We start from the raw sequence: 12,523 nt of genomic DNA on the forward strand, positions 1-12,523 counted from the left end.
GCAATCATATATATGCAATAAAACAATTTTTTTAAAGGAATGGAATCCTAAATATAAATTCAGGGTAGTAGTTACCGCTGGGGCTGAAAGGTGTGAATCAGGAAAAAAAGACAGAGGAAGAGCAGATGTTAGGATCAGAACCTAGTTCTTGGGTTGTGTGGTGGGTTCACAAGTGATTACCATGTTGTTCAAATACATTCAAATACATTTACATACAGGCCAAGGCACAGGCAAGGATGAAATAGGAGCCAAGGTATGCTGTGAGCCAAGGATTATGATTGATCCAATTTTGTGCACTTTAAGCCATTTGAAAAACAGAAAAGCAAAACAACAAAATAATTTTTAAGAAATTGAATATAAGGTGCTAATTTTTAAGAAATTGAATATAGGCAAGGATGAAATAGGAGCCAAGGTATGCTATGAGCCAAGGATTATGATTTATCCAATTTTGTGCACTTTAGGCCATTTGAAAAACAGAAAAGCAAAACAAAATAATTTTTAAGAAATTGAATATAGGGTGCTAACTTTTAAGAAATTGAATATAGGCAAGGATGAAATAGGAGCCAATGTATGCTATGAGCCAACGATTATGATTTATCCAATTTTGTGCACTTTAAGCCATTTGAAAAACAGAAAAGCAAAACAACAAAATAATTTTTAAGAAATTGAATATAGGGTGCTATGGTCTGAATGTGTCTCCCTAAAACTCATCACCAATGTCATAGTATTAGGAAGTAGGGCCTTTAGGAAGTAATTCAGTCATGAAGGGAGAGTCTTCATCAATGGGTTACACAAAGACTGGAGGGAGTGGGCTTCCCCTGTTTTGCCCTTCCTCCTTCTGCCATGTGAGGACACAGTGCATCCCCTCCTGAAGACACAGTGCACAAGGCATTATCTTAGATGCAGAGACCAGGCCCTCACCAGACACCAATCCTAGTGGCACCTTGATCTTGGACTTCCAGCCTATGGAACTTTGAGAAATACATTTCTGTTCTTCATAAATTACACAGTCTAGTGTATTTTGTTATATAGTAGCACAAACGCACTAAGGCATAGTGCCTCGTCATTTTCTTCTAGAATTTTCTTTGTTGCCTGTCTAGCAGTGTGCCATTTTATATTTGATCCTTCGTAATATCTCTTACTTTTGGATTTTTACATTTCTGTTGCAAGTGTATTCTTAGGTACATGTTTTTCACTATTTGTTAGTGTCCAGGTCAGAAAGTCCAGAATACATTCTCTTAAGGGTTCAGTTTCTGCAGCAACGTAAGTATTAATGCCTCCTGTGAACTAGGTATTTCCTTTCCAATTGTAACTGCCATCTGGAAGCGAATTGGAATTACAGTCTATGAGTGTGGGATTGATTTTTAATGTATCTGGGTTATGGTTAAATGCTGGTTTTTAATCACACAGATTCATCGATGGCTTGGCACACTAGAGCATCACTTGCTAGTTATCTCTATATTTTTCCATGCTGTTAGAGAGGGAAAGTACAGACTGTGAAGTTGGACCAGCTGTCATACACACAACATTTGGGGAGCTTTGATTTTTTTAAAACCTTTAGCTGCTTAACTGTCACATGTAGCAGCTCAGGTGAAAGGCACTTTTATTGTGGGGACTTTCCCTTAGTGCTCTGTGGTGCAAGAGCAGACCTATGTAGAAGCATTTAAGTATTTTGTGCATCAACAGGACAATTATAGGAAAAAATTTTTTAAATATAATTTTATTTCATTTTCTGCATTACTTAGAAGCATCAGTAGGATGAAAACAATATTTGTTTCTTAAACCTGTGCACAAATTAATTGATGTGACACACATTAATTCATGATTATTTTCTTAATGAATTGATTCTAAAGCTTCTCTAAGATAGGAAGGCATAAGACAACCAAAAAGAAATATTGATTTATAACTGTTCTAATACTGCTCAGCATTTTTAAAGTACACTATAGCCAGAAAGCATGTTATAATTACTAATAAGATAATCCACAGAATGCCTTGCTGAGCCAGGTAGGTGTAGAAGAAATAAATTGTTTCATATTGGAGGAAAGTGAACACTATAAATCAATATACTAGTGTGAAATTTTGCATGGCTACATGCTATCATCACCAGCATCACAAATGACTTAAGGAATTCCTCAGATGAGAGTGGACTCCTATTGGTGGCCACAATGTCACACTCTTTTTTTAATTTTTTAATTTTTATTTAAAAATTTTTTTTAATATACTTTAAGTTTTAGGATACATGTGCACAACGTGCAGGTTAGTTACATATGTATACATGTGCCATGTTGGTGTGCTGCACCCATTAACTTGTCATTTAACATTAGGTATATCTCCTAATGCTATCCCTCCCCCCTCCCCCACCCCACAACAGGCCCCAGTGTGTGATGTTCCCCTTCCTGTGTCCATGTGTTCTCATTGTTCAATTCCCACCTATGAATGAGAACATGTGGTGTTTGGTTTTTTGTCCTTCTGATAGTTTGCTGAGAATGATAGTTTCCAGCTTCATCCATGTCCCTACAAAGGACATGAACTCATCATTTTTTATGGCTGCATAGTATTCCATGGTGTATATGTGCCACATTTTCTTAATCCAGTCTATCATTGTTGGACATTTGGGTTGGTTCCAAATCTTTGCTATTGTGAATAGTGCTGCAATAAACATACGTGTGCATGTGTCTTTATAGCAGCATGATTTCTAATGCTTTGGGTATATACCCAGTAATGGGATTGCTGGGTCAAATGGTATTTCTAGTTCTAGATCCCTGAGGAAGCACCACACTGACTTCACAATGGTTGAACTAGTTTACAGTCCCACCAACAGTGTAAAAGTGTTCCTATTTCTCCACATCCTCTCCAGCACCTGTTGTTTCCTGACTTATTAATGACCGCCATTCTAACTGGTGTGAGATTGTATCTCATTGTGGTTTTGATTTGCATTTCTCTGATGGCCAGTGATGATGAGCATTTTTTCATGTGTCTTTTGGCTGCATAAATGTCTTCTTTTGAGAAGTGTCTGTTCATATCCTTCACCTACTTTTTGATGAGGTTGTTTGTTTTTTTCTTGTAAATTTGTTTGAGTTCATTGTAGATTCTGGATATTAGCCCTTTGTCAGATGAGCAGGTTGCGAAAATTTTCTCCCATTCTGTAGGTTGCCTGTTCACTCTGATGGTAGTTTCTTTTGCTGTGCAGAAGCTCCTTAGTTTAATTAGGTCCCATTTGTCAATTTTGGCTTTTGTTGCCATTGCTTTTGGTGTTTTAACATGAAGTCCTTGCCCATGCCTATGTCCTGAATGGTATTGCCTACATTTTCTTCTAGGGTTTTTATGGTTTTAGGTCTAACATTTAAGTCTTCAATCCATCTTGAATTAATTTTTGTATAAGGTGCAAGGAAGGGATCCAGTTTCAGCTTTCTACATATGGCTAGCCAGTTTTCCCAGCACCATTTATTAAATAGGGAATCCTTTCCCCATTTCTTGTTTTTGTCAGGTTTGTCAAAGATCAGATGGTTGTAGATATGCGGCATTATTTCTGAGGGCTCTTTTCTGTTCCATTGGTCTATATCTCTGTTTTGGTACCAGTACCATGCTGTTTTGGTTACTGTAGCCTTGTAATATAGTTTGAGGTCAGGTAGCATGATGCCTCCAGCTTTGTTCTTTTGGCTTAGGATTGACTTGGCAATGCGGGCTCTTTTTTGGTTCCATATGAACTTTAAAGTAGTTTTTTCCAATTCTGTGAAAAAAGTCATTGGTGGCTTGATGGGGATGGCATTGAATCTATAAATTACCTTGGGCAGTATGGCCATTTTCATGATATTGATTCTTCCAACCCATGAGCATGTAATGTTCTTCCATTTGTTTGTATCCTCTTTTATTTCATTGAGCAGTGGTTTGTAGTTCTCCTTGAAGAGGTCCTTCATGTCCCTTGTAAGTTGGATCCCTAGATATTTTATTCTCTTTGAAGGAATTGTGAATGGGAGTTCACTCATGATTTGGCTCTGTTTGTCTGTTATTGGTATATAAGAATGCTTGTGATTTTTGCACATTGATTTTTTATCCTGAGACTTTGCTGTAGTTGCTTATCAGCTTAAGGAGATTTTGGGCTGAGACAATGGGGTTTTCTAGATACACAGTCATGTCATCTGCAAACAGGGACAATTTGATTTCCTCTTTTCCTAATTGAATACCCTTTACTTCCTACTCCTACCTGATTGCCCTGGCTAGAACTTCCAACACCATGTTGAATAGGAGTGGTGAGAGAGGGCATCCCTGTCTTGTGCCAGCTTTCAAAGGAATGCTTCCAGTTTTTGTCCATTCAGTATGATATTGGCTGTGGGTTGTGGGTTTGTCATAGATAGCTCTTATTATTTTGAGATATGTCCAATCAATACCTAATTTATTGAGAGTTTTTAGCATGAAGGGCTGTTGAATTTTGTCAAAGGCCTTTTCTGCATCTATTGAGATAATCATATGGTTTTTGTCATTGGTTCTGTTTATATGCTGGATTACATTTATTGATTTGCATATGTTGAACCAGCCTTGCATGCCAGGGATGAAGCCCACTTGATCATGGTGGATAAGCTTTTTGATGTGCTGCTGGATTTGGTTTGCCAGTATTTCATTGAGGATTTTTGCATCGATGTTCATCAGGAATATTGGTCTAAAATTCTCTTTTTTGTTGTGTCTCTGCCAGGCTTTGGTATCAGGATGATGCTGGCCTCATAAAATGAGTTAGGGAGGATTCCCTCTTTTTCTATTTATTGGAATAGTTTCAGAAGGAATGGTACCAGCTCCTCCTTGTACCTCTGGTAGAATTTGGCTGTGAATCCATCTGGTCCTGGACTTTTTTTGGTTGTTAAGCTATTAATTATTGCCTCAATTTCAGATCCTGTTATTGGTCTATTCAGAGATTCAACGTCTTCCTGGTTTAGTCTTGGGAGGGCGTATGTGTTGAGGAATTTATCCGTTTCTTCTAGATTTTCAGTTTATTTGCTTAGAGGTGCTTATAGTATTCTCTGATGGTAGTTTGTATTTCTGTGGGATCGGTGGTGACATCCCCTTTATCATTTTTTATTGCATCTATTTGATTCTTCTCTCTTTTCTTCTTTATTAGTCTTGCTAGCAGTCTATCAATTTTGTTGATCTTTTCAAAAAACCAGCTACTGAATTCATTGATTTTTTGAAGGGTTTTTTGTGTCTCTATTTCCTTCAGTTCTGCTCTGATCTTAGGTGTTTCTTGCCTTCTGCTAGCTTTTGAATGTGTTTGCTCTTGCTTCTCTAGTTCTTTTAATTGTGATGTTAGGGTGTCAGTTTTGGATCTTTCCTGCTTTCTCTTGTGGGCATTTAGTGCTATAAATTTCCCTCCACACACTGCTTTGAATGTGTCCCAGAGATTCTGATATGTTGTGTTTTTGTTCTCATTGGTTTCAAAGAACATGTTGACAGTGGGGTGTTAAAGTCTCCCATTATTATTGTGTGGGAGTCTAAGTCTCTTTCTAGCTCTCTAAGGACTTGCTTTATGAATCTGGGTGCTCCTGTATTGGATGCATATATATTTAGGATAGTTAGCTCTTCTTGTTGAATTGATCCCTTTACCATTATGTAATGGCCTTCTTTGTCTCTTTTGATCTTTGTTGGTTTAAAGTCTGTTTTATCAGAGACTAGGATTGCAACCCCTGCCTTTTTTGTTTTCCATTTGCTTGGTAGATCTTCCTCCATCCCTTTATTTTGAGCCTATGTGTGTCTCTGCACGTGAGATGGGTTTCCTGAATACAGCACACTGATGGGTCTTGACTCTTTATCCAATTTGCCAGTCTGTGTCTTTTAATTGGAGCATTTAGCCCATTTACATTTAAGGTTAATATTGTTATGGGTGAATTTGATCCTGTCATTATGATGTTAGCTGGTTATTTTGCTCGTTAGTTGATGCAGTCTCTTCCTAGCCTCAATGGTCTTTACAATTTGGCATGTTTTTGCAGTGGCTGGTACCGGTTGCTCCTTTCCATATTTAGTGCTTCCTTCACGAGCTCTTTTAGGGCAGGCCTGCTGGTGACAAAATCTCTCAGCATTTGCTTGTCTGTAAAGGATTTTATTTCTCCTTCTCTTATGAAGTTTAGTTTGGCTGGATATGAAATTCTGGGTTGGAAATTCTTTTCTTTAAGAATGTTGAATATTGGCCCCCACTCTCTTCTGGCTTGTAGAGTTTCTGCCAAGAGATCAGCTGTTAGTCTGATGGGCTTCCCTTTGTGGGTATCCCGACCTTTCTCTCTGGCTGCCCTTAACATTTTTTCCTTCATTTCAACTTTGGTGAATCTGACAATTATGTGTCTTGGAGTTGCTGTTCTCGAGGAGTATCTTTGTGGTGTTCCCTGTATTTCCTGAATTTGAATGTTGGCCTGCCTTGCTAGATTGGGGAAGTTCCCCTGGATAATACCCTGCAGAGTGTTTTCCAGCTTGGTTCTATTCTCCCTGTCACTTTCAGGTACACCAATAAGACGTAGATTTGGTCTTTTCAAATAGTCCCATATTTCTTGGAGGCTTTGTTCATTTCTTTTTATTCCTTTTTCTTTAAACTTCTCTTCTCACTTGATTTCATTCATTTGATCTTCCATCAGTGATACCCTTTCTTCCAGTTGATCAAATCGGCTACTGAGGCTTGTGCATTCATCACATAGTTTTCGTGCCTTGGCTTTTGGCTCCATCAGGTCCTTTAAGGACTTCTCTGCATTGGTTATTCTAGTTATCCATTAGTCTAATTTTTTTCAACGTTTTTAACCTCTTTGCCATGGGTTCAAACTTCCTCCTTTAGCTCAGAGTAGTTTGATCATCTGAAGCCTTCTTCTCTCAACTCGTCAAAGTCATTTTCCATCCAGCTTTGTTCCGTTGCTGGTGAGGAACTGCGTTCCTTGGAGGAGGAGAGGCACTCTGATTTTTAGAGTTTCCAGTTTTTCTGCTCTGTTTTTTCCCCATCTTTGTGGTTTTATCTACCTTTGGTCTTTGATGATGGTGACATACCGATGGGGTTTTGGTGTGGATGTCCTTTCTGTTTGTTAGTTTTCCTTCTAACAGTCAGGACCCTCAGCTGCAGGTCTGTTGGACTTTGCTGGAGGTCCACTCCAGACCCTGTTTGCCTGGGTATCAGCAGTGGAGGCTGCCGAACAGCGGATATTGGTGAGCAGCAGATGTTGCTGCCTGATCGTTCCTCTGAAAGTTTTGTCTCAGAGGAGTACCTGGCCGTGTGAGGTGTCAGTCTGCCCCTACTGGGGAGTGCCTCCCAGTTAGGCTTCTCGGGGGTCAGGGACCCACTTGAGGAGGCAATCTGTCCATTCTCAGATCTCCAGCTGCGTGCTGGGAGAACCACTACTCTCTTCAAAGCTGTCAGACACGGACATTTAAGTCTGCAGAGGATTCTGCTGCCTTTTGTTTGGCTATTCCCTGCGTCCAGAGGTGAAGTCTACAGAGGCAGCAGGCCTCCCTGAGCTGCGGTGGGCTCCACCCAGTTGGAGCTTCCCAGCCGCTTTGTTCACCTACTGACGCCTTGGCAATGGCTGGCGCCCCTCCCCCAGCCTCGCCGCCCCCTTGCAGTTTGATCTCAGACTGCCGTGCTAGCAATGAGCAAGGCTCCATGGGCATAGGACCCTCTGAGCCAGGCATGGGATATAATCTCCTGGTGTGCCATTTGCTAAGGCCGTTGGAAAAGCTCAGTATTAGGGTGGAGTGATCTGATTTTCCAGGTGCCGTCTGTCACCCTTTTCTTTGACTAGGAAAGGGAATTCCCTGACCCCTTGCGCTTCCTGGGTGAGGTGATGCCTTGCCCTGCTTCAGCTCATGCTGGGTGTGCTGCACCTACTGTCCTGCACCCACTTTCTGACATTCCCCAGTGAGATGAGCCTGGTATCTCAGTTGGAAATGCAGAAATCACCCGTCTTCTGCATCACTCATGCTGGGAGCTCTAGACTGGAGCTGTTCCTATTCAGCCATCTTGGCTCCACCGAACAAATTTTTATTGTATCTTTTAGTCTATGAAGACAAAACCACAGTGACAGTAACTAGGTCAAGGCATTGTATTCAGAGAGCGTCAGCCTTGGTCTTTGAGAGTGAGTCCTTTTTACCACACTGTTAAGACTCACTGAGCAGATGGGAAATTTCAGGTGGAACATGCAGTGAATAGCAAACACGGTGGAGGGTGCTCACTGTCATGCGCTGCCATGCCTGCCATGGTCAACAGACCTGTCTTGTCCTTGACAACAGGCAGGTTGATAAACATTTTCTTGGAGAGTTTCTTGATTCTTCTCAGTTGTAGCAGGATGGACTGACTTAGAGGAGCTCAGGAAGATTGTTATACAACACAGAAACACAAGATGAATTGTACTCCTCAGCAAGCCTAAGTTAGAGCAGCAGGTCCTTGAAGCCTCAGCCACTCCTGGGACATAGCATAATGCCCCTAATGATTTGAAATTTAGTGGAGAGTGGGTTGCTACTCCCTGTGTCCAGGAACAAAAAGAGACATAAAGAGCAAAAAGTTATAAAATAAGTGGGACTAATATCTGCTTATTTTGGGAGGTAGGGATTTAAGATACAAGAATTCAGCTGCATGTGGAAGCTTACATCTGTAATCTTAGCACTTGGGGAGGCCAAGGCAGGAGGATGGCTTGAGTCCAGGAGTTGGAGATGAGCGAGGCAACATAGTAAGTCCCCATTCATACAAAAATGTTTCTGAAGAAAAGTAGTTCAGTGAGGTGGCACATGCCTGTAGTCCCAGCTATGTGGGAGGCTGAGGCAAAAAAATCGCTTAATCCTGGGAGATTGAGGCTGCAGTGAGTTATGATCACACCAATGCACTGCAGCCTGAGAGTCCTGAAACCCCAGCCGGCGACCTGAAGCTCCTCCTCCACCGGTAAAAGTCGGCTCAAAAAGGCCCTGAGGACAGGGGTCCTGGGGGTCCGGCCCCGAAGTCCCCTCTCCAACAACGCCCGCTACTCCATCAACACTCCAGCCACCACAGCGACTGCCACAGGAGCCCCCGTCCACGCAGAGCCGAAACCGTTTAAAGGGGCTACAGCCTGACTTCCAAGGGCAAAGCACGAGTCGGCTTAGGCAATGCGGATGCATGAGGCGACACCGCTACTCCTGTCACAGTGACCCCAATGGTTGCCTGAGGACGACTCCATCAACCTTGACAAAGCAGGAGCCGTCCGTGGCAGTGCGTCAGTGTTGAGGCGCCAGGCTGACATCTCCAGAAGGTCAACAAAACTGTTTCAGGATTCCAGGAGACACGGAGGGGCAAACAGGATGAAGAAACAGCAGGCGGAGTCTGGGAAAAGCAGCGCGGAATTCCAGCCCGAGGCCTGCCCGGATGGTGTTTGGGTGAGTCTCCCCAAAAGTCGTGCCCCACATCATCTCGAGGAAGCGTCTGCCTGTGTGCCCGTGGACTACTCTCTAAACCGATGGTTGTTCTTTTGAAAAGCAGAACCCCGCAGCCTCAGGGGTTGCCTGGGGTGGTGTGTTTCCGTTCCACTGCTGTGTATCTGTGAGTGTGTCTCCCATTCTCTCTTCTCTCTCTGTCTCTCACTCTCTGTCTCTCTCTCTCTCTCTCTTTCTCTTTCTGTGTGGCAGGGAGCCGAAGGGACGGGACTGGGGCTGGGTACAGGGGAGGCTGTGTCAGGGCTACCTAGGCGTTGGAGGGGTGGGGATGGGGTGAACTTTGCAGAAACCTCTTCGCTCCTCTGACAGGCATCCCAAAATGTGGCTTGGACTCACACACAGGTTCTCTCCTGGTTCCCAGGTGGGCTATGCTTTTATGTGGCGTTGACAGGGAGGTCACCTGTGCCCCCCTTCCACCAGGCACATGCCTGGACACCTTTCTTCATCTTGGCATAGCCCCATATGGGCTCGGTGACACACACTCACCCCATCTTCTCTTGGGGACGCCAGTGACACGTGTGGTTGCATTGGCTCCACCTTGGACTCGCCCCTGTCCCTGTTTGCACTTGTCCTGGAAAGCGGTGTCTTCTCGCAGGAGCCCCAGGGCTTTGGGAAGCAGGACAGGCCACTGGTCCTCCAAGGGAGGAGGGAGGCAGAGGGCTCATGGGTCAGTGAATTTTCAGCTGACACCACGCCTTGAGGCCCATGGGATCTTTCTGTGCCCCAGTGAGGCCCTTCCCACCTCAACAGATAAGGTGAACCCATCCCTGCTCACCTGGTGGGATTCAAAATCAGATCTGAGGAGGAATCCAAAGACCCGAGCAGGCGCCCTGAAGCTCCTCCTCCACCGGTAGGAGTTGGCTCAAGGAGGTCCTGAGGACAGGACTCCGGGAGTGCGGCCCTGGGGTGCCTACAGCCCTCTCTCCCACGTCGCCGCCTACCGGACCGGGGATCCAGCCACCGCCAGGGTTGCAGCCAAAGGCCCCTGCCTCTGCGCTGCCGCCATTGCTTAAAGGGGCTTCAGCCTGACTTCCAGCAGCGGAGCGCGAGTCGGCCTAGCCAATGCGCATGCGCGAAGCGCCAGCCAATTCTCCCATCACAGTGAGTCCCACGGTTGCCTGAGTAACCACTCCCTGAGGCTTGGCAAAGCAGGAGCCCTCCATGGCAGTGCTTGGGTGTCGGGGCTTTGAGGCTCTGGCCTGACCTCTCCACGGGGGCGACAGGAAGGTCTCCGGATGCCAGGAGTCTCCAAGGACTGACCAGGGTGACAAAACCACAGGCAGAGTCCAGGGGAAGCAGTGCGGCATCCAAGCCTCAGGCCTGCCCGGACGGGGATCGGGTGAGCCTCCCCAAAACTTGTGCAGGCCATGATCTTGAGGACAGGTCTGCCTGTGTGTCCATAGGCTCCTGTCTCATCCCAGTGTCGATCTCGTGGAGAGCAGAACCCCAAAGCCTCAGGGGTTGCCTGGGGCTGTGTGTTTCTGTGCCACTGCTGTATGTCTGTGTGTGTGTCTCCCATTCTCTCTTATCTCTCTGTCTCTCACTCTCTGTCTGTTTCTCTCTCTCTCTTTCTCTGTGTGTGTGTGTGCCAGTGTGGGTGTGTGTGTTGGGATCAATGTGCCCTGTGCGCCAAAAAGCGATTTCTTGCATGTCAACCTGTTTTTGGTGAGCCTTTTTTTTGGTCTCTGCCTGGGTCATGTGGCCGGTTGTCAATCGTTTTCGTGGTGGTTCCACTTTGGGATTGTGAAGGCCTCGACCACATGAGGAGATGCGTCGGTCCCGGAGCAACTGGAATCTCATCCCCATCCTGAGCGGCTTTTCTAGAATCAAGATGACCACACTTCAGCCAAGGACCAAAGCCTCATAGGAGCTCATTCTCCTGCAGGAGGGGAGCAGACCGATGTCAAAGGAGATGGTTGTATCTCCTCGCGGCTTTTCTCTGAGAAATGAAGCCACACCACGATACAGTCTTAAAGAGGAAGCCAGGAACCGGAGATGACAACAATACCTGCTGTCACTGGAATGCTGGCCTCTCTGGACAAGTCACCCATTTGACACTCCTTCCCTTAACCCTGTCGGTGACACTGTGCTGTGTCTTGCCTGGGATCTGGCCTCTGCTCTGTCCTCCCTCTTGCTCTGTCTCTCCTGTTTCTGAGGGGCCTAGATGCTTCTTGGTCTGGCTCAATGTCTTCAACAAAGAACACTTCCCAGTCCATCAGGGAGAAAATTCGTGGAGATCCGTGTCATAATTGTTTCTCTCTCCAAACCTGTTTCTGGTTGATTCGGCCGGTTTGACTATCCTGGAACTCTGGGCTTCCATACCTGTTTCAGACAGGGAAGCTCCCTTGGTCTCCAAGTTTCACCTCATGGCTGGGTGGATTGCCTAGAATGAGCGGTAGGCGATCATGGCTGGCCTTGGCGTCTAGGAAAGGCCGTGCGGCATTTCCTCTGCACTTCCTGTCTTATTATTGAGAGACATCCTCCCCTCTGCTTCTGGATGGACTGCCTCCCAGAACTGAATCTTTCAGCTCTCACAAATGTCAGGGATCCAAAGGGCAAGGGCTGGGGCTGGGTGCAGGGGAGGTTGCCTCAGGGCTACCTAGGCTGTGGAGGGGTGAGGGTGGGGTGAACTATGCAGAAACCTCTCCGCTCCTAGAGCAGGCATCCCAAAATCTGGCTTGGATTCAGGCACGGGCCCATTCCTGGTTCTCAGAGGCGCTATGCTTTTCCTTGGCGTTGACTGGGAGGTCATCTGTGTCCCCCCGCATCCACCGGGCACATGCCCAGACACCATTGTTCGTCTCGCAATCACCCCATATGGCCTCGGTAATGCACACTCACCCAATCTGCTCTTAGGGAAGCCAGTGCCACGTGTGGTCTCATTGGCTCTACCTCGGACTCGCCCTATCCCTGTTTCCACGTCTCCTGGAAAGTGGTGTTGGCTTGCAGCAGCCCCACGGCTTTGCGAATCGGGGCAGCCCACAGCTCCTCCAAGGGAGAAGGGAGGCAGAGGGCTCGTGGGTCAGCGAATTTTCAGCTGATACCACGCCTTGAGGCCCAAGAGATCATCCTGTGCTGCAGCGAGGCCCTGCCTGCCTCACCA

General features: G+C 45.5%; 1 protein-coding gene across 3 annotated transcripts in view; it reads left to right on the forward strand.

Annotated features, from left to right (window-relative positions):
* The window catches only part of ZNF420 (zinc finger protein 420), a 122,467-nt gene that overhangs the window by 38,613 nt on the left and 71,331 nt on the right, over positions 1-12,523 (forward strand). The window lies entirely within an intron of this gene.

Source organism: Homo sapiens, chromosome 19 (assembly GCF_000001405.40).
Source record: "Homo sapiens chromosome 19, GRCh38.p14 Primary Assembly".
Taxonomy (NCBI): Eukaryota; Metazoa; Chordata; class Mammalia; order Primates; family Hominidae; genus Homo; species Homo sapiens.